Here is a 27,404-nt window from a genome sequence, read left to right as displayed (position 1 = left end):
CATATTTAAGATGGAATTTGAGCTACCAGAGTAGGAACTTTCATAATTTGGGCCTTGTAGCGTGTTGAACCCTGTGAACCTGCCTGCTCTCCTGATTTGGGGGATAAACTAAGTCGACACAGTGTGCTATCCAAGAGTCAGTTCTCTATACTTGGGGTCATGATCTCCCAGATGGGAGGGTACACATGGCCCTGGGGGAAGGCTTAGTTTTTCAGTGGCTAGAGGAGGTGAGGACTATCACAGACAGTTCCAGGGACGGCCCTTGCTTCACCATCATTCTAAAACAGGAACTGCTGAGTGTGTGTGGTATACCCAATAACCTCTGCTTCCCCTTGAGAGGAGGAGAATGATGGGGTGTTGGCTAAATTCCCTTTCCTCGTGACCCAGATCCAGACAGTGCTGCTGTGCACCTGGCCATGGACGCCATGATTTCACAGTTTGCTCCAGGACTTGGTTGGAGGTGAGGCAAGGTCACAGGATGTGTGGGCTGAGTGGGCTTCGCAAACAGAACTCTGCTTCAGGGCAGCTTCTTGCCCAGCCCCGGAAACTCAGGCCGTCCCAGGAGCATGTTCTACTTCCTCTCTAGAGTCAGTCACAGGCCTTCTACTCCTAGCAAGCTTACTGGACAAGTTTGTCTCCTGAAACACAACCTTCACAATGTATTACACAGAAATAATACACTTGAAATCGTGCCAAGAGGTCTCTAAGACCTAAAGCAACTTTGTAACACTATCTAGCATTCATTCTTTCAGCATTTTCTAGATCTTCCATGACATGTCATATATCAAAGCACACAAAGGTGAACAATTCCACTCCCTGCCCTCAAGGATATTAAGGTCTAGTAGACATAGGGGCTTATCGAATGGGCAGAAATATTTTCAATTCCGAATAATGGTTACCTCTGGAACTACACATAGATAAGTCTCCCTAGCCTAAAAGCCAACCTTAATAAATGTTTGCAACAGGAAAGACCAATTGGAAAGTTTGTTAACTTTTCTTTTCCAAAGGGTAATGTTTTCATTATTATTATTTTAATTTTTGTGGGTACATAGTAGATATATATATATATATATATATATATTTATGAGGTACATGAGGTACAAGCATTCAAAGTGTAATAATCACATCATCAAGAATGGGGCATCCATCCCCTCAAGCATTTATCTTTTGTGTTACAAACAATCCAATTATATTCTTTTAGTTATTTTTAAGTGTACAATTACATTATTATCACTATAGTCACCCTGTTGTGCCATCAAATACTGAGTCTTATTCATTCTTTCTATTATTTTTGTACCCAAAGGGTTAATTTTAGTTTTACTCCTGATGAGTAGGGTGTAGGTGGTCATAACAGAGGCTAAGCTTGGCTCCCTGATGAGAAATTTATGTGCCAATGGAAGCACAGTTTCCTTTGTGAATAGTCACAACTGGTCATTTATTAACGACAATAACCTCTTGGGTAAATAACATAAAACAACCGCCAAATGCTATCATATTGGTCTGCAGTCTTAGCAGAGGATAATTTATTAACTTGCTAATTATACTCCTTTGTACCTCCCTTTTCTTTTTAGCACAGATGTTATACTGCCAGAGTGAAAGTTTCAGTGTTAAGTATGGTACTTGATTTTACTCAGACTTAGAAGTAAGTGGAACATTTGCCAATTCATTCAATTATGTTTCCTTTTTATTTGGCTTACTTTAAAAAACCAGATTGCCCCTCTCCCTGGAGATTAAGTTGGTAGCAAAATTAATAACGGCAAGACTGTTTTCCCTTTCCCAAGTTAAAAGAGCCGCATGGCTATTCTCAGACAAATCCCAGAATTGTGAGACCTAAAGCTTATATAAGAAGGGGGCGGGCCTCTTTAATAAAAAGAAAAGAGAATCTCTTACTTTCTCAAGATTGACAGTGCTAGGGCCTCTCCAAAGCCCTTGAAAGTGGCCCTGATAAATCTAGTTCGAGTTTTCCTAATGTTGGTCTACACCACCAAGTTGTTCCTTAAGCATTTAAATATGTGTAGCCTAATATAAGGCAAGTTAAATAAGTTTTTTAATAATTCTTGTTTTATAGTAATGTACATCCAAAATAATAAAATGTAGCATAAAAGTTTAGGTTTAACTATAGTTTATAAGTTATAAATTGATGCTGTACTGCCATCTATTGTCTATCCAAAGAATTATTACTGTGTTCAACTGAGCCTCAGAGTTGTGATTTCAAAGTTACCAAAAAGTGCTTCCACCTGCATTGAATTGAATTATTTCCTCAAGGGAACCTAAGACACCAGATACTAGAACCACTCTTCTGAATTAAGGCATTGGTTGTAACATGCATAAGTTTTCTGGCCACAAAGGAAGGAGAAAACTTAATTCACTAACAAATGGCACTAATAGTGTGCATGGTGTTTCTTTACTGCAACTGCTAAATGGTAGAGAGCAACCATTTACTGAGCAACCTCTTTCCTGCTAACATTAGACCCTGTATTAGATTACGGACACATACCATCAGATAATGCTAGACCTGAAAAAGTCCCTGGTGATTACCTGGTTCAGTCACTTTATTGCAGATTTGAAGAGACATTGTTCCTCAGAAACCATGTGACTGACTGACAGTGTTGTGCCTGCTGGTTACCCATGTACATGGTACTGGAAGCCCAGGCTCACAAAGAGGCATCTAATGACAGTGTGAGGATAGAGCCATGTAAATCTCTCCCATCTCCAGAAATAAAACAAAACCCCACAATCTATTTCCCTTGGAAAACCTAGAATTTTGGATTTACAGAATGGGTTTTTCCTTCAGAAGCAGTGTTGTCTTCAAATTTGTATTTTTTCTCAGCTGAATAAAGGATCAAATATAGCAATGTATACACACAGATTTCAGAGTCATACCAGCCTGGCCATTAGCTATATGATCTTGAGCTAGTTACTTCTTTAAGCCTCAGTTTCTTCATCTGCAAAATGGGAGTGATAAATTGTTAAGAGAATTAAATTAGGTAAAACTTGTAAAATGCTTAGCCTAGTACTGCCATATAGTAGGTTCTCAATAAGTATCAGCTATTGTAATTATGCATATGAATGTCAGTTGACATGTCCTGAATAATAATTTATAAGGAATTATATAGATGGTACTTTGAGCTAGCATATTTATCAGGCTCAGATATGAAAGGAGAATGTCTGGGTTGGAAGATCCCTTAGAGATAATCTAGTGACCCAACCATACCATTTTTCAGATGAGTTCATTGAGGCCCAGAGATATTCATTGTTCAAAGTCACACGGCTAATGACAGAGTTAGGAGTAGAGAACCCACCCAACTCCTCACTCAGAGACTAATTTTAAATTCTCAGTAGATGAGTTTCACGATCACAAAATTCCAAGTTGGATGGGGAAATGAAAATAATTTGCTATGCTCATTCGAGTTTTTAAAATACAAAGCATCCTCAAAGTTACAGGTATGTAAAGGATGCTACACCACTAACCCAAGTATTTCTTGTTGCCAATGGTAATAGAATGCAGAAACTCTGCCATCTAGTGGTTGCACAAGAATATCACTCCTCTACTCATCCTTTTTTGTCCAGTCAGCCTCTACTTCCTGATTGCATTCACCTTCCTGGGCACTTTGATGGTTTTTGTTTGTCTGTTTGTTTGTTTGTTTTGTTGGTTTTTGTAAAGACGGGGTCTCACTATGTTGCCTAAGCTGGTTTTGAACTCCTGGTCTCAAATGATTGTCTTGCCTCAGCCTCCCAAAGTGCCAGGATTACAGGTGTGAGCCACCAAGTCTTTCAAAATGGCAGCCTGAAGGCTGGGAGCCATCTCCCAATATGCTGTGTGGTGCAGAAATGTTTAAGTTCCCCCTCACACCTGACCAGTGGAATGCAAATCATCTCTCCAACAAAGGCTGGAAATGTTTGCCTTAATACTTCTATCTTGTGAAATCGAGGCTTTGGGTGCTACCGAGTCTGTGAAAGTTAAGCAAAATATCTCAGGACCACTAGTATGTTGATTTTGATGATTTCGGATCACTCCACATGATTAACGAACCATGAAACTCGCCCAGAACCAGGCTAGGTTCCACAAGGTTTGGCTTTATTAGCATTGGTCCCAGAGGAAGAAATGATTTCATTCTGGGCACAAGCAAAGAGAAGCCAAGGCCGAGGACCAAACAACCAGGAGAATTGTGCAAATCCCCAGGAGAACTGAGGAACCGAGGTCTGTGCCTCAAGGAACGGCTCGGTTTTATCAAGAGTATTGTGTTTCACGCGTGATTGCACATGCTCTGATTTAGAGAAGCTGAAGGTCATGGCATTTTTTTCAGCTTCTCTTTATAAGAGTCAAGTTGGACAAGTTTTGTTTTCAGTTGTCGAAATACAAAAGAAGATTTTTTTGATTGCTGGAATTTTCCTTTTAAGGCAATTCAAATTCTTATCATCTAATGGCAGAGAAGAGAAAATGTAGCTTTTATTTTGACAGTGTCAATACTCCCCAAAGAAAGACTAATGATCTTACTAAGCTCATGAATAACAAATTAATAATGCAAAAGAGGGTATTTTCAATTGTTAGCCTTTGTAGCACCAAACAAAGCTTCTGGTGATATTACCATGGAGCAGGCAAGGAGGAAAAAGCCTGGCAGAATATGGTTATATTAATGGATACAAAAATACAGTTAGATAGAATGAATAAGATCTAGTATTTCATAGCACAACAGGGTGACTACAGTCAACACTACTTTATTGTACATTAAAAAATAACTAAAAGAAAATAATTGGATTGTTTGTAACACAAAGGAAGGATAAATGCTTGAGGTGAAAGATACCCCATTTACCCTGATGCAATTATTACACATTATATGCCTGTATCAAAATATCTCATGTATTCTATAAATATATACACTTACTATGTACCCACAAAAACTAAAAATGAAAAAAAAATTATGTGGTTATAGGCACAAGGGTAGAGAAATAGTCCTAAAGTACCAGGGGCAACTCTGAGGAGTCATCTTTGAGCCCTCCTGCTCCAATCAATCCACCTCTGATCACTCATCAAGGGGTCCTTTGTCATCGCATTTGAACTTGCTTTGAGGGACACTATAAGATGCAGCCACGTAGAACTCTTGGTTGGACCTATTGCAGGGATGCCAAGAAGGATGTTAGGTACCATCTTACTTAATATCCTTTATATGGAGACTGAAGGGAAAGATTTCTCTCATTCTGAAATGCCAAGAAAAGCTTTTCTCTTTTTCACTCCTTGTCTTTTAGACAATGAGGTCCATGTACTTGATCATGAATCAATTTTAACAATTATATAAAACATTATGAATGTGTGTTTCTGTAAAGTAATTGTTTCTCTTATCACACTATCATTCTTTTAGTGTTCTGATCTGTATTTATTTGCATTGTCAATTGGATGCAAACTACTGTAAATCTTTTAGAGGAAGAAGTGACAGGGAGGCAGTTATAAATACAAGAAAACTGTTTCTTCCACCTCACCAGTATGACATCCATCTACTCTTGTGCATTCCAACCACTACTATCCTACTTCTAAACTTCATTATGTCTTCAGTTTAGTAAGATTCCAGTTATTCTCTGCTACTGAGTGTCTCCTGCAGCCTTTAACCTATTCTAACTTTACAAATAGATTGATCTTCCTGATGTACTGTCTGGTTTGAAAACCAACAGATAGCTCAGCACTGTCTACAGAATAAAGCCCTAACTTCATTGTCTGGTATTCAAGTGCTTTCACCTTCTGGACCCAGTCTAACTTTTCAAATGTAGCTCCCCTACACACCCTATATTCCAGGCAATTTTGTTATATTTTAGCTTACTTATCACTGATGGCTCTTTCTCTCATCTCATCTCTTTAAGGGGCTCCTGGGTATGAGTCCCTTTGTTTCTGCCGTGGCATATAATAACATCTGTCACATCACAGATGCTCTGTAAGAGTTTGCTGGCTGAGTGAATACAAAGCGCTTTCTGCAAAGGTGGTTTGATTCATGAAGATAGCAGCTGCTTGCAGAGCCTGTTGCTGTTTATGACTGTTTCAAATAATGTCAATATAAAGCTTTGGTTCAAAAGCACCTCCTCCTAACCACGATAGTTACATGCAAAACTGGTCTGTTGGTTATTATTTTCCAGAAGTCTGTGGTGATGGCACACACTTTGAAGTTAACTTTATAGCATCTTTAATATGCATCATCTGCCTATTTTGTTTACCTTTGCCCCACCTTAGCTCTCTAGTCCAAAACTCATGCCAGCAACAATTAGTAAGAGTCTCTTAAACTCTGGGGTCCCTAAACAACCTGGCACGAAACTCGTCTGCCTTAGTTAATCCTTCCAGGCACTCAAATAATTATCTTCATCAATCCTGAGCTTTGATGGCACTTACACTGCCGCAATCATCATTACTTCATGGCATTTCCAGAAGCAATAAAGTTTCAAGAGAAATTGTGTAACTCTTCCTTGTATCAAACATTTTTTAGCATTTATTGTATTTTCTGAACTCACAAACACCTACTTTTCTTATAGATCATATACTCTCAACTTTCTCACAGCTATAATTCAGAGGTTTCAAGGCTCTATTCAATATATTCTTTTATATGGTGGTCTATAAATCTTTATAAGAATTGAGTCTTTAAAGGTTACTTGCAAGACCTCTAAAACATTCCTACACATAATATGGTGCTTATAGTAAATGCCTTTTGATAATAATATAAAACTAAAAAAATCATTTTCAATATGAGAGAGATTTCCTTATATTTTTTAGTTTTTCAAAATAATTCTTATGGAGGTTCATTTTTTACATTAATTTTTATAACTGTCAGTTTCATCGTGTTCCACTTACTCAATTTCCAAGCACCTGCTAGTTGTCTGGTGATTAATACAAAATGATCAGTAATTAGTACATAATTCATAATTGTCTGAATCATATCTTTGGCTTCTCTCACTCACCTGCACCAGGTAGGTAAACTCCACAAGGGACCAAAGCTGCTTTAAGGCTTCCTAGACATATCCTTATGTAGCGACTAGAATTGTCATCAAATACCTAATGAATTAGTTCAATTAACTGGTGTTAATGTTTCAAAAGAGAACTCTAATTTAAAATCATTTCTCATGAAAAATCTTTATGTATTAGCAACACGTCAGGGATACAGTTTTGCTGACTGAAGACAATAGAATGGCTGTGAAGCTGAATCTGAGATGGACTGATATTTATCACCTCAGCTCTCATGAATAGAAATTCTCTAAGGTGCAGAGGCAAGCAGAGGGAAAAAGAGATTATCACAGTATCCCTGCTCTCCATCTATCCAAATAAAGTTGTCCTTGCAAAGATGCTAGTCACAAGCTCCAAATGTCAGCTTCAAATTCCCACCCTAAGGGTGTTCCAATACCACTCTAACCTCCTTCTCCCCTCCCTCCACCTCAGACTTCCAGCTGTGGTCAGACAGATTTGTTTGCCCTTCCCATACATACAACTTGCTTCATTATTTATATGTCTTTGCTTGGGTTTTCTATTAATGCTTTTGCCTCTCCTCTTTGTAATCTTTGGCTATCAAATTCCATCAAGTCTAATTTCAAAATTCACTTCCTCCAAGATTTCCCTGATTGTAATAAATCCTGTTTCATAAGCCCCTAAAAGTCAATTTCATGTAGCTGAAATATTACACTACAGCAAAAAGAAAAGGACATCGTTATAAATCACAGAATTGTTTCAATACTAGTTTTTAAAAAGAAAAAGAAAGCAATAAAATGGTGTGAGAAATAGTGTCTATTTTTCTCAAGTGTAGATTATTCTCTTTTTAAGAATAGGGATTATTGAGAAACATCAGTTTCATCAGAAAGAGATGGTGGGTGGAGAATTTTTCACAGGCTGTAACATGACTTTACAGAGCTTTTGTTGTTACCACATGTTGATGATTATTATTTCTAATTTCACATCAAGATTCATGGTTTTTCCCTTTCCGTCACACAAATGCATCACTAGCTTTACTTTTAGGCTTTACAGCCATCAACTGAGTGATAGTGATTAATAATGGAATGAAAGGGGAAACAAAGAATGGAAAGAAAAAAAGAAAGGGGCCGGGTGCAGTGGCTCACACCTGTAATCCCAGCACTTTGGGAGGCTGAGGCAGGTGGATCGCTTGAGATCAGGGGTTCGAGACCAGCCTGGGCAACATAGTGAAACCCTGCCTCTACCAAAAAAATACAAAAATTAGCTGGGCATGGTGGTGTGCGCCTACAGTCCCAGCTACTTGGGAGGTTGAGGCAGAAGACTTGCTTGAACCCAGGAGGTGGAGGTTGCAGTGAGCCAAGATCATGCCACTGCACTCCAGCCTGGGTGACAGAGAGAGACTCTGTCTCAAAAGAAAAAAAAAGAGAGAGAGAGAGAGAGAGAGAGAGGAAGAAAGGAAAGTGCTTCAAATAAGGTGAGGATGTGCTTTAAAGGAAGGAAAATTCTATATGTGGAAATAATGTAGCTGAGGGAGAGTAGAGGGCAGAAGAAGAGAGGCAGCACAGCAGGTGCACAGCCCTGGAAGGGGAAAGCCACCAGCCCCACGTCTTCCCTGGGCTGGGTGCTGGGACTGCCAGGCTTAACACAGGCTTCTTGTACAGCTCTTGACACAGAGAACTGAAGGATGTGCATAATGCAGGGGAGAGAAAGTAAGTGGTTTTGAACTTCGAGGTTCAACATTATGAAATACCATTTTTGTAGGTCAAAACCAGTCAAATATGGCAATTTCATATAGTTGCACCTAGTACTATTTAGTAAGTGTTCATCTAGGTTTTCCGGGAACATATATCAGTTTCTCAATTTAATCATAGGCTTTTTAGGAGCTAAGAACCATATCACCTTCTGTCTCTATAACCTGTACTCAGTGGGTATAAAACAAATGCTTTTTTTTTTTCAGTCAGGGATGATACAAAACAAGTTTTTTTCTTGTGCCACTGGTTGAGGCTTCCAGTACAGAGAGAGTTGAGTCACTAAACCACAAAGCATTCTGTCCCAAGAAAATATTTATTTTGTTTAACAATATTTTAAATTAGGGAGTGTTATCTCATCAGGTAGAATGATGAGGACTCTTGAGTCAACAATCTCTGCTCACAGGAGATTTTTATTCCTGCAGTCAAGACGAAGGTAGAAACTTTCACTTTGTGAAAATTGGGCACAATCTAACACAAAGAACCACTGTATTCATATTCTTCAGTTAAAATATCTTCATATTGTCTTTGTACCAAATTTTAAAGAATATTAACAATAATTCAAAAAGGAAACAAACTTATTTTTTATAAACTGAATAATGGTAGGACATATAAAGATGCTTCTAAAAATGAGAAATTCATAAAATTAAAAAGGAGATAATTAAATTTTATTAAAATTTTCTATTTCACACATTGTTTAAAAGGGAAGAATAAAGGCTATTGGTATTTTTCCCAGCTTTGATAGTTGCTTTTTACTGAAAAGGATCAAAATATTTTATTAGCAAAATTAATTTCCCAATCTGTCATCCGTTTTTTTCTTTAAAAGAAGAAAATCTTAGGTTTTCCTCACTTGGGAACCACTCAAAATATTTTTCTCTTTTTTTTTTTTTTTTCATTTTTTAAGTAAATTGATACCAGGTCTCACTATGTTTCCCAGGCTGGTTTCAAACTCCTGGGGTCAGGTGATCCTCCCACCTCAGCCTCCCAAAATTTTGGGATTACGGGCATGAGCCACTGCACCTGACCATATTTTTCTCTTGTTACCAAATTTAACAGTTACAATTTATGCTACTAGACTTTAAATATGAGAAAATCACATAACTGCAATTACTATTAACTCATTTATTTTTGAAAACCGAAAATATTTGACATCAAACCATTACATGAATCATTCCAATGGATTATTCATTTTGTCCTCTCACTTTCCTATCAATAGTTTATCTGTTTTACTAGTAGAAAAAGGAAGATATTGATCAACCGAAGAAATACCATGCAAAAACTTTGATTCTCTGCTTAAAATGTAAGCATGTTATGGGAAAGCAAACACATATGGATTATGGATTTACTATTTGCTTATAGACAGAGCCACACGCCTGTGACAATGCAGGAGGAGACTGGAGTGACGCAGTGGGAAGCCAACGAGAACACCAAGGATTGCCAGCAGCCATGGGAAGCTAGGAAGAGCAAGGAGGGATCCTTCCCTAGAGCCTTCAGAAGGAGCACGGTCCTGCTGAAACTTTGATTTTGGACTTCTAGCCCCCAGACTGTGAGAGAGAAAAAACTGTTAAGTGACCATGTTTACGGCAACTTGTTATAGCTACCCCAGGAAACTAATATACCACGCTACCCCAACGTGAATGTGCATTCTAAAAGACAGCTTGAGGAGAGGGCAACGTTTAACACAGAGATGAAATAACAGGTATTTCTGGCATCAGTAATAACTCAGAGGAAGAGATCTTTTTAGGGACGCTGGCCTTCAGAGTAGTTTTTAAATGAGGCTTGGCATGTGCCAGTCTCTTCCAGGGAGGTGTAGAATGGGCTGTCTCTTAGTAAAGCACTCTACTAAGCCCTGTGGAAGGAAGAAAGATAAATAAAAAGATGTACATGCCCTTTAAAGTCATCCAGGCACTCCAAAGACACCAAAAGTCCCAACATAAAAAGGTGCTGTCTCAGGAACTAAGAAACCTTGAAATAAAATCAAGAAGTACTGAGAGAGAATCTCTGAGCTAAAGAGAACTGTGTATCTCTATATCGTCCATTCCTTTAAATCCCAGCCAAGTTATACCATATCAAAGATAATTCCTGGTGGCTAAAGAATTAAATGCAGAAACATCAAATCATAAAGATTAGGAGCGTATTATGGCATATTAGAAGGGAAGGAAAACAACTTCCTACGATTAAAAGCAATGAGAGAAATAAAAAAGAAAGGCTAGGTGCAGTAGCTCATGCCTGTAATCCTAGGACTTTGGGAGGCCAAGGCAGGAGGATCAATTGAGCCCAAGAGTTCAAAACCGGCCTGGGCAACATAGCAACACCCTGTTTCTACGAAACAAACAAAAATCAGCTGAGTGTGATGGAGCTTGCCAGTAGTCCTAGCTACTCAGGAGGCTGGGGCAGGAGGATTGCTTGACCCCAGGAATTTGAGGTTACAGTGAGCAAACATTGTACCTCTGTACTCCAGCAGCCTGGGTGACAGAGTGAGATGCTATCTCTTAAAAAAAGAAGAAGAAAAAGAAAAGAAGAAGAAAAATATTGGTAGTTTTACTATGCAAAAATAAAAATTTCCATACATTAAAAAATTAAAGGCAATAACAAGCCAAGAAAATACTTTCAGCAAATATACCTGATGATTAGTTAAGAGCCATGCTAAAGAAACCATATAAATATATAAGAAAAATATTAGCAAACCCAATGAGATGAACAAGGGAAATGAAAAAAATAAAGCATTTGAAGAAATAAAGGGTTAATGAAAATATTTTCCCAACTTCAACTTCCCTATATGCAAATTAAAGTAACAATAGGATACAATTTTATTTGTTTTGTTTTTAGAGAAGTGGGTCTCTCTGTTGCCTAGGCTGGAGTGCTGTGGCTATTCATAGGTGCAATTATAGTACACTGCAGTCTCAAACGAATCTTGTGCCTCAGCCTCCCAAGTAGTTGGGACTACAGGTGTGCACCACTACACCTGGCTTGGGATACAATTTTAAAATTGATAATGTCCAATGGTTTAACATACTACTCGGGGGTGGGGGGGGTTATATTAATTGCTACAGTCTTTTAGTAAGCAATTTATTCATACTTATCAAGAGACTTAAAATGCTACTATACCTATCCCCTATAACTCTACTTTTAGGAAATGATTTGAAGGAAATAATTTTCAAAGCATTCAAAGATCTATTTATAATATGCTTATGGTAATATTATTTATGATAACAAAATTTGCAAAAAACCCATTCAGGTAATGACTAAGTAAATTATTGCATGTCCATATTATGGAATGCCATTTATCCTTTAAGTCATGGGGGCAAAGCTTGTGATATAATGGTAAGTAGAAAAGTAGAATAAGATTGCGGCCGGGCGCGTTGGCTCACGCCTTAATCTCAGCACTTTGGGAGGCCAAGGTGGGTGGATCACGAGGTCAGGAGATCGAGACCATCCTGGCTAACACGGTGAAACCCCGTCTCTACTAAAATTACAAAACAGTAGGGCGAGGTGGCGGCGCCTGTAGTCCCAGCAACTCGGGAGGCTGAGGCAGGAGAATGGAGTGAACCCGGGAGGCGGAGCCTGCAGTGGGCCGAGATCGCGCCGCTGCACTCCAGCCTAGGCAACAGAGCGAGACTCCGTCTCAAAAAAAAAAAAAAAAAAAAAGAGATTGCATGTCAACGATGTTACATATCTAAGAGCATACTGAAAGGAAATACACTAAAATCTGAACAGGAATTCTCTGGCTAGTTGGATCAGGACTGATTTCTGTTCTTTCTGTATTTTCCGAAATTGACATTCATTCTCTTATAATAAGAAAAACATTTAATAAAAATGTTTTAAAACTCCTAATAGGTTCCTCAGGGAAGCTTAAATAAAGATTTTGAGTGGCAGTAATAGAAGGTAAAACTCCGATGATGGAACAGACCTTTTTACATAATTTAATAAAATATTAATGCATAGATTTTGCCTGCCAGTCTCAATTTCTTTTTCCCAGTTTCTTAGGTCAATAATTCCCAATCTAGATCTTGGAATACTTCACTAATTTTTTCTTGGATGGTTTCCAAGACACGATTTGTTTTTAAAATTTGCAAGGGCTGGGCACCGTGGTTCACACCTGTAATCCCAGCACTTTGGGAGGCCAAAGTGCTTAAGGTCAAGAATTAGAGACCAGCCTGACCAACATAGTGAAACCCCATTTCTACGAAAAATACAAAAATTAGCTGGGCATGGTGGCAGACTGAGGCGGGAGAATCACTCAGACTCCTGGAGGTGGAGGTTGCAGTGGGCTAAGATCACGCCACTGCACTCCAGCCTGAGTGACAGCATGAGACTCCATCTCAAAAATAAATAAATATAATTAATTAATTAATTAAATTTGCAAGGAAAACAATACTGCAGAGAAATTCACCCTGTATGATGCAGCCAACATCTGTTTTGACACTTGTCAGATAATTAAAAAGCAGTCATTACAAATGATTGTAATGTAATTTTGTAGGTTGGGGACAGTGACTCATGTGTGTAATTCTAGAACTTTGGGAGGCCAAGGCAGGAGCATCATATCAGCCCAGGAGTTCAAGACCAACCTGGGCAACATAGTGAGGCCCTATTGCTACAAAAATTTAAAACATTAGTCAGGTGTGGCGGCCCCTGTAGTCCTGGCTACTTGGGAGGCTGAGGTGGGAGGAGGATGGCTTGAGCTGAGGAGTTTGAGGCTGTAGTAAGCTATGATCACACCATCCTGGTTGACAGAGGGAGACCTTGTCTCTAAAATAATAATAATAATAATGACTTTGTAGTGCTGGCAGCTAGATTGAGGAGTGGGACAGGAGAACACAGAAATTAACAGGAGAAGGTCTTTGTTTTGTTTTGTTTCCTGTTGTGCATCATTTCAAAATCATTTATTCTACCTAAACAGGGGACAGGGAACAAATAATGAAGGGGCACGCTGATTCCATTCATTGTTTGGTTTTTCAGTGATCTGTAACTCTTCATTTACCCTACAGCCTCTTTTTGTTATCCATACACATTTTGCAGAACAACTCAACAAATCCATAAACTGAAACTGGTAGAGACTTACAAGTAAATCTTTTCCCTTGCAAACTGATCCAGGATAAAATCTTCTGATTTATTATTCTCTAGTTTTTCTTTTACATCAGGGCTTAGCACACTAAGGCCTGCAGGCCAACTCTGGCACACCACCTGTTTTTGTAAATAGAGTTTTATTGGAAGAGCCACACAGCAATTGTAATACAGCCATGTCCATGGCTGCTTTACTGCTACAATGGGAGAAAGTTGAGCAGTTGCAATAGAGACTGTGTGGCTGACAGTGCCTAAAATACTTACTACCTAGACCTTTAGAGAGAAAGTTTGCCAACCTCTGTTTTAGGAGTCTAGAGGCTTGCTTGGCACAGTTTCTTCTTTTTGCACTTTTATAACCTTCATTGAAGAGGAATAAGCACTCCTAAAACTCTAATCAGTATTATCAGATAATTATATTACAACTCAAGGTCAAGTTTATCCAATCCTGGATAAACTTAAAGACAGGAAAAAATTGCCCACAGTCTTAAATGCAGTTCAAAATCTGAATAATCCTTAAATTTACTTAATTTTTTTGACTACTGTTGTAGCTATCCTCCAAAACATCCCACATGATCCTCACCTTCTGGTATTTACGCCCGTGTCCTCTCTTATACAGAAGTGGTGATACCTCACTTCCAAGACTAGGTAATAACAGTGTGTCCCTCTTTCTCCTTTCTCTCTCTTTCTTTCTCTCTCTTTCTGTCTCAATCTCTCTCTCTCTCTCTCTTTCTCTCTGATATATCATTTGCTCTGGGCCTCCAGCCAATAGCCATTGAGGAACTGAGGCCTTCTGATAACAGCCTCATGTGTGAACTTGGAAATGGATCTTCCAGTCCCAGTCAAACCTTTAGATGACTAGAGTCCTGGTTGACAGCTTGACGGCAACCTAAGAGAGAACCTGAGCTGCAACCAATCAGCTAAGCTGCTCCTAAATTCCCGATCTGCCCAAACTGAGAGATAATAAATGTTTGTTGTTTCAAGACACTAAATTTTGGGGTAATTTGTTACATGGCAATAGAAAATTCGTGTCTTTACCTCTGCCACTACTACTGCATATATATATTTATGTATGTATATGTATGTGTGTGTATGTTTATATATATATACATATATATATATACACATATATATATACATATATATGTATATATATATATATATTTCCCAGTTTCTAGCAATTAAAAGCAAACAAAAACTGTCAGATGCAATCTTTTCCTTCAAATGGACTGTAAATTAGATCTAGCCCAGGTCTCAAGCCCAGAAATATCATGAACTTCAAACCAACTGGAGACTTTCCTCTATACTATAACAATTCCAGTATCAGCCATTAAAGCAGGTTTCAATGACTCCACTCTTTTGCTATAGCGACACTAGTCAAAGAATTAAATCCCAGATAATATGGAGGCACTGGAATCAATAGAACATTCACCCCAGGAGGACTGATAACCCACGAGTACATATTGACAACCCAGATCCCAAAGCATAGGGAAACCAGAGCTCAAACTTCTCAGACTTCCAAACAGCTTCTAGTCTCCTTTCTCCTCCAGTTTGACCAGAAGAGGTGCACAGTATGAAGATTGTCTTATATTTGTGTAGCACTTTATACCTTGAAAAGCAGTGCTTTCATGTATATTATCTCTTTATCCTCACAGCAACCCTGACTTGCTGGTTTAAAATAAGAGTTGTTTTATTTTTTGTAAAAACAGAGAGCGATAATATTAGTGTAAGAACAGAAAATAGCGGCTGGGCATGGTGGCTCCTGCCTGTAATCCCAGCACTTTGGGAGGCCGAGGAGGGTGGATCATGAGGTCAGGAGTTTGAGACCAGCCTGACTAACATCGTGAAACCCCTTCTCTACTAAAAATATGAACAATTAGCTGGGTGTGGTGGCGCCTGCCTATAGTTCCAGCTACTCAGGAGTCTAAGGCAGGAGAATCGCCTGAACCCAGGAGACAGAGGTTGCAGTGAGCCGAGATGGCGTCACTGCACTCCAGCCTGGGCAACAGAGTGAGACTCTGTCTCAAAAAAAAAAAAAAAAAGAAAGAAAAGAAAAAGAAAATAGTATCTGATTATTTTTGTGACATATTAGGATGTTTTACAAAGAATGTGTAAAGCCCAGGGGTTTAATGGAGGGGCCTCAAAGGCCAAATCAAGGGTTAAGGAGGACAGGCGGAGGTGCACGTGGTGGGCACATTGCCAAGAGTCTACCAGAGAACTCCATTTTTTTGCACCTGTTTAGCAGAGCCCAGGTACACTTACCAGCATAACTCCTATGTTTCGGTTAGAGATTTGCACCCTTAACTCTCAATTGTTCAAGCCTTGCAATAACCTACTGATTTCCCTTGGAACATACTTAACTCCCTGGGGGGTAGGTACTGGGTCATCTTTCATCTTTGTACCTACCACAGCTTGTAGGACAATGAATTCACATGGAAGGCCCTCAACAGATGTCTGAGAAGGGATAGAAGGGAGGAAATGAGAAAGGGAGTGAAGAGCAGGTTAGAAGTACAATATGGTTTTCTTCAAACTATATAATCTTATTGTATTGCAAACTGTTTCAAACAAAGTTGTATAATTTCTCTTGATGGACCTCCTTCCATTGAAAATTTCTGAAGTGAGCAAAGTCATGCAGAAAGCATTAATGAAAGTACAAAGAAGGGTGGAAAACTCCTCTTCGCATTGACAGTGATTCATCTCCCAAGGAATCTAGGTTATGAGGTACAATTAAGAGTCGTTATTTGAATATTTCACTCTCAAAGAGCTTCAACAGACAAGAGGCATTTTGAAGACAGCAATGATTTTTGCCACGCTAGAATTAATATTCTGGTCATTAAGAACATAATCAGTTTTTAGATCATTGTTTTCACTAAAACAGGGTCCTACCCACAAGCACTTATAATCTGATGCCTAAGTAAACAATGTAAAGAAACCCCTCCATGTCAACATAGCCTTGTGGGTGGCAAATTCATCATGTCATTTGCATCTGATGACGATATCTGGTTCTGTGAAGCTAGAGTGGGCCCATATGAGATGTTAGCCTTGATAGAATTCCCAGGGAGCCAGCTGGCCCTCTGTAGGGTGGGTGCTGTAGGGTACGGAAACATTCCAAAGGGCCCCTTTGTCACTTCTGCAGGCAAGTCCCATGACAAACTACTTAGGGTGTTCAATAACAAAAATATAGCACACTACAAAACAGTGTGGCCATTTCTGTGTGTATTTTTCTCCCCTCATAGTGTAGTCTGTCCACCTACGGGTAGAATAATTAAGTCAATAAAACAGAACACAGTGATTTTTTTTCAGATTGGTGTATTTGTTTAACTGGAACAAGCAAGTTATTTGCCCATCTAGGTTTATAATCTCATCTTATTTTTTTTTCAACTTTTATTTTAGAACTGGGGGGCTTGAGCAGGCTTGTCCCAAAGGTATATCGCGTGATGCTGAATTATCTCCTTATCTTACAGTGTAACTCAGACATCATTCTCAAGATGGCTTAGAATCTAAATGCTTTAGTTTAGAAAGACTGTGTGAGGAAAGAATCTGCACTAAATGAAAGATTAAAGTGTCCAGCTAAGAATGTACTTATATCATACCTAAGCAGGTTGCTGACTATTTTGAGAGAGGTTTATTCCAAAGTGGGGTTTAGGAGACTACATGGCAGAGGACTAAATGAATTCATTTTTAGGAGGCTGTGGTAACTTGCCTCCAAAGACAGTCCCTACGCCGGGTGTGGTGGCTCAAGTCTGTAATCCCAGCACTTTGGGAGGCTGAGGCGGGTGGATCACTTGAGGTCAGGAGTTTGAGACCAGCCTGGCTGACATGGTGAAACCCCATCTCTACTAAAAACACAAAAATTAGCCAGGCATGGTGGTACACACCTGTAGTCCCAGCCACTCGGGAGGCTGAGGCATGAGAATCACTTGAACCCGGGAGGTGGTGGTTGCAGTGAGCCGAGATCACGCCACTGCACTGCAGCCTGGGTGACAGAGCGAGACTCCATCTCTAAACAAAAACAAAAACAAAGACAGTTCCGACAATTGCCCCCTCTCTGTACTGCATGCTGCTCTTCATGTTGAAGCATAGTTATTTTCCTCTCCTGAGCTGCTTGTAAGAGGTGCAGCTACCCGGCTACAGACGCCCCATGGAGAGGGAAAGGCCACGAGATAATATGGGAAGAAACTTTGAACCCAACAGACAACAAGAACTGAGGCCCCATACATGTGACCCCAGTGGAGTGGCTCAGCCAGCTGCCACTATTCAAGCCACCCTAGCTGACGCATCAGGCATGTGACTGTAGGAGCCATGTTACACGTTCCCACCTCAGAAAGTCCCAGATGCATGGAATCATTACAAACAATAAAGAATCATTATTTTAGTTCGCCAAATGTGGGGGTAGATGTTATGCAGCAATAGATAACCGAAGCAGGCTGAAGTCACATAGCCTTGTGCTAAAATCCTTTTTCTTTCTTTTTTTTTCTGTTTGAGACAGGTTCTTGCTCTGTTGCCCAGTCTGGAGTGTAGTGGCACCATCATGGCTTACTGCAGCCTCAGCCTCCCAAGTAGCTGGGATCACAGGCGTGAGCCACTGCATCCAGCTAATTTTTAAATTTTTTTGTAGAGATGGGGGTTTCGCTACGTTGCCTAGGCTGGTTTCAAACTCCTGGACTCAAGTGATCCTTCTGCCTTGGCCTCCCAAAGTGCTGGGAGTTATAAGCCTGAGCCACCATGCCCAGTCTAAAATCAATTTTTAATAAAAATATTATACTGGGTCATTTCTTATGAAAATCATCCATAGAAAATCCAGTTGTTCTAAGCATTTATTAGGAGAAACCTGAAATCTAAATATATTTTAGAAATGATGGATATATTCAAAGAGGATTTTTAAAAATAATATGTAATATATTTCTGAATTGATCTCTTACTATTTTAAATGAACAGGGCAGTAGGAGAGGACAAATAAAGAATCAACTCAATAGTACTAAGCACCTTGACAATTTTAGTTTAATAGTAATAACTACATTTTATCCAGTGATTGCTACAGCCCCAGCACTGTGCTAAGTATGCATTTTACATCTGTTACCTCATTTAATACTCACAACAAACCTGTGAGATAGGTGTTATTACTTGCATTTTATGCAGAGGAGGAAACTGAGACTAAAAGAGGTTAAGTAATGGGCCTACAGTCCACAGGAAGTTGTGGAGCTGGGATCTGAACCTGTCCGGCGTGATCTGAAAGCTGTTTAACTATTTACTGTACTATAAGGCCTCCACCTTTAATAATAAAATGGTTTCATCATTTGGTTACTTTCATGCTCAGAAAGGAATATATCCCACAGCAATAGCTAAAAATAAAAGCCATATTTTGGCCTAGAGTAAGTGACTTAAAGTATTTTGTATGCAATTTGGCATCCTTTTGCATTTAAACTATGGTGTTTGGCCAGTCTCATCTCATGCCACATAGTTCCTCTAGAATTATATATATATATATGGATGTGGGAGAAATTCCCACATACAGCATGGACATTTTCCTTTTGTTAGTTTATTTTATAGTCCCTAAAAGAGTATTTGTTTTATAAAAGGAAGAACTGAGGCACAACCATCTCATTCCAATGATTTATCCAGATCAACTCTCCCCCTACTCAAGCACATGTCATCCTTTCATTATTCAGAGAGGGCATAGCCCTGATTAGCAAGGCTAATAGGTGATATATTCCACATAGAGACGGAAAATAGAAGGAAATGAAAGGAAAATAATTTTGCCAAAGGTTAAAATGTTCAGGTCATCAACTCTGCCAGCCTTACAGATTAGTTTTATCCATTTCAAGGAGTCTAAAACACTGTAAAAATCTCCATAAAGAGAAGTTGTTCTAATACCAAGTGAACAGCAGCTTGGGTTGTTTCTAGAACTTCAATGAGCAATTTGCATTCTCAAAAGATCAAGGGAAAGGATACTCTGGTTTATCTGATAAAAAGTTGGAGAAGATGCCTCAACTGAGAACACCTGATCTCTTACTGCCACAAAGCTCCTTCACAGCCTCTTAGCTTTGCCAAATTGGGCTAGAATTTGGGGTGATGCTTTGATGCACAGAAATGACAATGAACTGAAGGACTGAAACACCTGCCTTATGCCAAATATTTTCTTTGTGTTCCTAGAGTAAAATAAGAATCTGATGTGGTATCAGAAGACCTTACATAAATGCCAACTCTGCCGTGTCTAACTGTATCACCTTAGGCAAGATACTTTCTCTCTCTGACTTTAAGATTCTTCACCTGTAGAATAAGGATGACCATACAACACAACACAGGGTTGTTAGAGGAATTAAATGGGATAGTACATGTGATTGCACTTTGTCAACTGCAAACCTCGTTACAAATTTTAATTCTTATAAGTTTCCCAGAAACATTTTACTATATATCACATGAGTATACTGCCTTCAACGTTCCAAAGAAAATATAGCAGATCTGAAAGTCTAAAGAAGTCAATTAAAAAAAAAGAAAAGTAAAATATACCAGATATTATTATCCATCATATTGGTTGTTTACATAAGACATAAAAAAGTGAGAAGAGTGGAGATAGTTAATTTTTAATGTCTGACCAATTTCTAATATACTATGTCCAATTCAATGGAAATATTCACTAATTCTTTCAACAAAAACATATTTTTGTGTGACTTACCACAGTGAATAAAATACCATCAGGGAGCTTACTTCTGAATGAGAGAGACACAGAATAAACACAAAAGAAAGCTAATATTAATTATAATGTCAGGTATTGATAAGTTCTACAAAGAAAAATGAAGTGGCTTCAGGCGATAAAGTGATGGAAGGTACTGTCTTAAGAGCAGATGAACAGAGGTCTCTCAGGAGGAAAATGTTTGAACAGAGACTTAAATAATGTGAGGGAGATGAGCCAAGCACACATCTGGGGAAGAGCATTACCATACAGAGGGAACAGCAAGCACAAAGGCTTGAGCTCGATGCGGTCCAGAAAGTGAAAAAGGCCAAGCGTGCCTGGGAGAGCTGCAAGAGGCAGACAGAGGCAGGAGGTGATGCAGTTTTAGGGACTAGGACATGAGCCAGGTAGTTCTGGATTTTATTCTGAGTGTAATGAGGAAGCACTGAAGGGTTTTGAGCAGGGGGAAAACACCATCACATTTAGGTTTTTCAAGAATCCCTCTGAGGAAAAAAATGTTTTTTAATTAAAAAAATAAAAGAATCTCTCTAATACATAGAGAACTGACTTCGGTGGAGACAGTAGGGCAGCGGGAGACAAAACAGGAAGACCACAAAGGCTGCTCTTTGAATAATCCAAGCTAGACATCACAGAAGAATGGACTAAGATGATAGCAGCTGGGAATGAGCTAAGAAGTGTGGTCAGATTCTAGACATATTTTAATGATAGAATGATACTGACAGAATGAAGGTGGGGTGTAAGAGGACGAAAGGTTTCCAGGATGATTCCAAGATTTGGGGGCCTGAAATACTGAATTATTTAGATTTACTGAGATAGGGAACAATCAGGAAGGAGCAGGTCTTGGGAGAGAATTAATCAATAGTTGGGTTTTAGACCTGTTATTTAATATATTACAAAAGCATATTAGACATTCAAGTCGAGAGGCTGGGAAGGCTGTTTGACACATGTGTCTGGGATGCAGACAGAGATGGATATTGGGGATATAAACGTGGAGTCAGAATCATACAGATGATCTAAAGCTGTAAGTCCAGAAAGCTCACCTAGAAAGTAAATGCAGAGAGAAAGGAGCTCCAAGAACTGAGCCCTGAGGCCCTTCCACATTTCAAAGTTGGGAAGAGGAGGAATAACCAGCAAAAGAGGCAAAAAGAGAGTTCATGGAGACAGGAGGAAAGTGAGAAGGGCCTAGTGTCATAGGACACCAGAGAAAAAAAAGGAAACCTGGAGGCGTTGCGAGATGTTGCTGATAATTTGAGTAAAATGAGGTCTAAGAATTAATTACTGAATTTGGCAGCATGGAAGTAAATGACAGCCCCTTAACCTGATGTTTCCTTCCATGTTGAAGGAATTCATTTAGGCAACTCTTAGTCCCTCTTCTCTCTCTGCCTCTGTGGAGACAGTGACTTCTCTGGTTCATAAATTTGGGTAGAATTAACGAGCATGCCTGGTGCATTCTTCCTCCTCTTAGGAGCCAGCTGCGTGCAGGGAACAGGCATTCTCCTCTGCTTCTCCAGGGGCAGACTCTGCCCACTGGGGACACCTGAGCTCTCCTAATCTGTCTAGAACCCAGGCAAGAAATAGTATTATTCTGATGTTGGCTGTGGGTTTGAAAAAAAGAAAAGAGTGTCATTAATTAGGCATCCATTTGAGACCTCAAGACCCTCATAGACTGTTTCAGAGGAGCCCAATTGGAGTGGGTTCCAATCAGAAAGGGGAAGAAAGTGGGATAAGAGGAAACGAAAATAGCAAGTATAAACACTCTTCTGTGGGTTTTTTCTCTGTAAAGAGGATCAGATAAATGAGTGGCTGTGGGGTCTAGGAAAGTGTGTGTGTGTGTTTAAGATATATGATGTTACAGCACATCTGTATGTTGATAGGAATGCCCCAGTAGAGAAAGGAAGAATAATGACTTGGGAAGGAGGGAACTTTGAGTAGGTGAGAGGGCATGGGGTCAGGAGCACGAGTGAAAGGCTTGACTTAGACATGAAGATGGACATCCATAACAATAGGAGAAAAGTTGAGGACACGGGTACAAATTAAGACAAGTTGGTGGTGGGTGTGGGATTCTATATGATATATTTAGTTTTCTCAGAATAAAAAGCAAGGGCATCAGCTGAGATGGGGAGTGATGTTTACAGTTTTGAGGAGAGATGAAGAGATGGGAGAATAAAAGATGTAAGGAAATACAGTAGGATTGCAAGGTCAGCACTTAGGGCCCATGCAGCATATGTGGTCATGAATTTAAAGTGAAACTGGCTGGGAGCGGTGGCTCACACCTGTAATCCCAGCACTTTGGGAGGCTGAGGCAGGTGGATCACCTGAGGTCCGGAGTTCAAGACCGGCCTGGCCAACTGGTGAAACCCTGTCTCTACTGAAAATATAAAAATTAGCCAGTAGCCAGGTGTGGTGGCACACACCTGTAATCCCAGCTACTCAGGAGGCTGAGGCAGGAGAATTGCTTGAACCTGGGAGGCGGAGGTTGCAGTGAGCCGAGATCACGCCATTGCACTCCAGCCTGAATGACAAGAGCGAAACTCTGTCTCATAAATAAATAAACAGATAAAGTGAAACCAGTCAACATAGCTGTGAACTTTTCTCCAGTCACATTGCGTTAGAAAGTGTATTTAGTTAGTGAACTGCATATGTCAGTATTGGAATTTTCCCAGATGACTGTAATAAGATAGGGGGTGAGGGAGCTGAGGCTGTATGCAAAGGCATGATGATAATGGACCAAAAACCCTACACTGAAGGGAGTTAACTGCAAGTATAGAATGTCAAGGAGTAGGATAAATTGAGGTTTTGGAGGTCATAAAATTGCTGGTAATGACAAGATAACAGTGAGTGTGGCGGAGGTGGGACAGGCAGCGAAACTGAGAAGCAAAGGTGCAAGGATGGGTCCTCTACTTGGATACTGAAATCACTTCCAACAGAGCTGGAAGGAGAGAGGGTGGCTCAGGTGTTACTCCTCATTGAATGAGGGGCAGCACTCAGGAGGACTAGAATGTAGCAAAGATGGCATGTATTCCCAAGGGGCTGAGGAAGTAGGCAGAATAAGGGTCTGGAAAGAGCCAGGAGGAGCAAGAAAAATACCTCTTTCTCCACTGGGTGACAGGTAGAGCTGAGAAAGGAAAGATGGTCAATGCTGGTGCTGACGAGGGAGGCAAGAAAGGTAACATCCTCAGGGGAGGTACAGGTTTTGCTCAGAGAAAGGAGGCACCTCAGAGAGTCTGCGGGATTTTTCTGATGATGCACTCCAAGTTCCAGAGGACACAGTGGAAGGACTTGAGGGTGAGGCAGAGGTGAGGAGTCTCCAGAAAGTATAGGGTGAAGATGCCAATGACAAGGAGTGCAGAGAGGCTGGACTTCTGTGGTGACGGGCAGACAGGACTGGTGGTGTTAGTCCTGATGGTCTCTTAAGAGGAGGTGGGTAGGCCGGGAACATTGGCTCATGCCTGTAATCTCAGCACTTTGGGAGGCTGAGGCAGGCGGATCGCCTGAGGTCAGGAGTTTGAGAGCAGCCTGGCAAACATGGTGAAACCCCGTCTCTACTAATAATACAAAAATTAGCTGGGCAAGGTGGTGGGTGCCTGTAATCTCAGCTACTCGGGAGGCTGAGGCAGGATAATCAGTTGAACCTGGGAGGCGGAGGTTGCAGTGAGCTGAGATTGCACCATTTCACTCCAGCCTGGGTGACAAGAGTAAAAATCATCTTAAAAAAAAGAGGTGGTGGGTAATCAGTTCTCACAGTAGCCTCCTTCTGGGGTTGGTCCTCCAGGCCATATGCAGTGGGAAGGGAGGATGAGTAAAATGGTCATGTCATGTAAGTAAAATGGTCTTGTGTAATCATTAGGTTTTTATTGAAATATACATTGTTAATAATGTTTGTATTTTTGTTTGAAAGCTTAGGAAAAGCCAATTGACTGATTATCCTTCAAAGAGGGTGCCAAATAGGAGAAAAAAATACATTTTATTGTGTTTTGTACTATGAGTTCCTAGAAACGTAGTTTGGATATGAAATTTTATAAACCAATTATTATGTATAGCTTGCTAGTTAAAAGAAGTTAAATTACTTCAAAAAGTGGAGACACTTTGTAATGCAAACAATCCTTTGCTTTGTTTCTAATATTTTGCCTTTTGCATATTAGGTTATCTTAAATCATGAGAGAGAGAGAAGGAAAGGAGGGAGAGGCTGGGCGCAGTGGCTCACACCTGTAATCCCAGCATTTTGGGAGGCCGAGGTGCGCAGATTGCTTGAGCCCAGGAGTTCGAGACCAGCCTGGGCAATGTGGCAAAGCCCCGTCTCTACAAAAAATACAAAAATTAGCCAGGCATGGTGGTGTGGGCCTGTAGTTCCAGCCACTGAGGGGCTGAGGCAGGAGGATCACTTGAACCCCGGAGACTGAGGCTGCAGTGAGCCGTGATCACACCATTGCACTCTAGCTTTGGTGACAGTGTGAGACCTTGTCTCAAAAAAAAAAAAAAAAAAAAAAAAAAAAGGGGAGGGAGAACTGAGGACTGGAGGGCTGGAGGAGAAGAGGAGATTTAAAAAGTAAAAGTGAATTAAATCCTTTAGTATTTAAAAAATAGTACCTCCACAGTTCAACTGGAAAAGTTCACTAGAGCCAAACTTATATCATTCTAGTGCTTCAATGCAGCTCTTGAACTGACATAAATAGCATAAATGTTATGCTTATATCTATAACACAGGTAAAAATGTTTCTGCTGCAGTTTTACATGGAAATTGCTCTACAGATCAAACTTTTTAATTTACAGAATTTAAGAAAGATAAAGGAATTTTTTTTTTTAATTCTGTGACTCTAGCCAATGCAAAGGAAGATTTTAAAGTTGAATGATTGAACTGTGGCCAGGAGGTAACTTAGCAAAATGTATTGGTTATGAAAGGTTTTATTGATAGCGAAAAAAAAAAAAAAAAAAAAAAACCAGCCAACTCTAGCACTTACTTTGATGAGGCAAGTTTCTTTTAGTCTGCAGGTAATATTAATCCTGCTACTATTTCAACCCAACTGTGATTCTCTGAAGTCAATTCATTATTTTCTGTAGATCAAGGGATCATTCATTAAAAGGTAAATGGATTCTTTCCATAACACCAAGAAGTAACTACATCAAGATAGCAAATTACCAAATGGTGGTCTGATATCCTCCAAGGCTTTGTGGAACTTATCTACGGGAGCAATTCACTTCCAGAGTATTTTAATCACTATCCATCTCTGAAGGCCTTTAAAAAGTAGCCACTTTTAATCTACTTCACTTCTAAAATGAAGCTCCTAAAAAGGGTGATAATGTGATTCACACTAGTTTTGGGCACCTAATCATGCTCCCATGGTGCCTTGTTGATAGCATTATCACTTCCTTATCCAGCTGTTGACTCAGTCCCCATTACTTGAAAAGAACCCCTTAAGGGCAGGAACCATCTTTCAACATCCCCCAAATAAACATTATGGAATGAGTGAGTAAATGAAGGCATGCAACATGAATTGTCCCAAGTCACAGTAGCAGAAGATGATGAAATATGTGTTTTAAAATTCTTGAACAAATAGGTCAGATGGGGTGGCCCACACCTATAATCCCAGCACTTTGGGAGGCTGGGAGGGGGGTGGATTACTTGAGGCCAGAAGTTCAATATCAGCCTGGGCAATATGGTGAAACACGCTCTCTAAAAAACAATACAAAAATTAGCTGGGCATGGTGGCTCAGGCCTGTGGTCCCAGCTACTCAGAGGCTGAGGTGGCAGGATCACCTGAGCTTGGGGAGGTCAAGACTGCAGTGAGACATGATGGTGCCACTGCATTCCAGCCTAGGTGACCAAGTGAGACCATGTCTCAAAAATAAATAAATAAATAAATAAATAACAAAACCCTATTGGGATTTTGATTAGAAAGGTATTAAACCAAGATCCCTGCACTCAAGAATTTAACAACTACTTGGTCATGTGAAGACTAAGTTCTAATAGGATTGTGGCCATAAAGGAAATATGTGTGGATAGGCTGCAGGAATCCAAAAGGGAGTCACCAATTCTAATGAGAAGAGGTCAGAAAAAACCCACAGACTGACATCAAGGCCCAGAACACTGAAAGAAAGCTGAATCTGGAGTTTATATGGTTTGGCTCTGTGTCCCCACCCAAATTTCATCTTGTAGCTCCCATGTGTTGTGGGAGGGACCTGGTGGGAGATGACTGAATCATGGAGGTGGGTCTTTCCCATGCTGTTCTCATGATAGTGAATGGGTCTCAGGAAATCTGATGGTTTTAAAAATGGGAGTTTCCTTGCACAAGCTCTTTTTTTTTGCCTGCTACCATCCACATAAGATGTGACTTGCTCCTCCTTGCCTTCCACCATGACTGTGAGGCTTCCCCAGCCAAGTGGAACTGTGAGTTCTCCATTAAATCTCTTTCCTTTGTAAATTGCCCAGTCTCAGGTTATGTCTTTATCAGCAGCGCAAAAATGGACTAATACAGCTGTGGATGCCAAAAATGGACAATGTGAGAGCAGAAAGAAACCACAGGAATGTTGAGATCCTAGCCCATAGATTAACAGGACAAGACTGAGTCACATCTGAGACAGGGTCCAAATGACATTCATGCAAAGCCCTCCCCTTTGGAGGGCCTCATGAAGAGACCCTACTCTCTAGGCTCAGCTCTAGTGGTACTAAAAGCCCTCCGAACCCAAATTCCTAAAGAGAGTATCCAGATAGGGACCTCAACCATCTTGAACTGAACATATATAAAACACTATGGTTTCTGCCACCCCATCTTCCCCACTGCCAAAAATGATTTTACATGAAGTTCTGTCAAGGGCATGGCAAGGGTAATGCATCACCCAGACTTGAAACCTTGGAACTGCTTTCCACTCTTCTATTCCCATGCCATTCACATCCAGCCAACTGCTGCCTCATCATGGTTCTCCCTCCATTCTTATGCTCATATCTGACTCTTACTTTCCACTGCCT

General features: G+C 40.0%; 1 protein-coding gene across 2 annotated transcripts in view, besides 1 other annotated feature; it reads right to left on the bottom strand.

The window, feature by feature from the left end:
* The window catches only part of CRYBG1 (crystallin beta-gamma domain containing 1), a 211,301-nt gene that overhangs the window by 123,389 nt on the left and 60,508 nt on the right, over window positions 1-27,404 (bottom strand). The gene's annotated exons all lie outside the window — the stretch shown is intronic.
* Window positions 258-759: an enhancer, noted in NCBI's record as "H3K27ac hESC enhancer chr6:106895745-106896246 (GRCh37/hg19 assembly coordinates)". NCBI's record gives its function as "activates a minimal SCP1, AML or CMV promoter by ChIP-STARR-seq in naive H9 embryonic stem cells {active_cell/tissue: H9 hESC(naive)}" and the evidence as "EXISTENCE:reporter gene assay evidence [ECO:0000049][PMID:30033119]".

The sequence above is a fragment of the Homo sapiens genome, chromosome 6 (genome assembly GCF_000001405.40).
Source record: "Homo sapiens chromosome 6, GRCh38.p14 Primary Assembly".
Classification (NCBI taxonomy): Eukaryota; Metazoa; Chordata; class Mammalia; order Primates; family Hominidae; genus Homo; species Homo sapiens.
The sequence above is the reverse complement of the archived record's forward strand: the minus strand, read 5'-3'. Positions and strand labels throughout refer to the sequence as shown.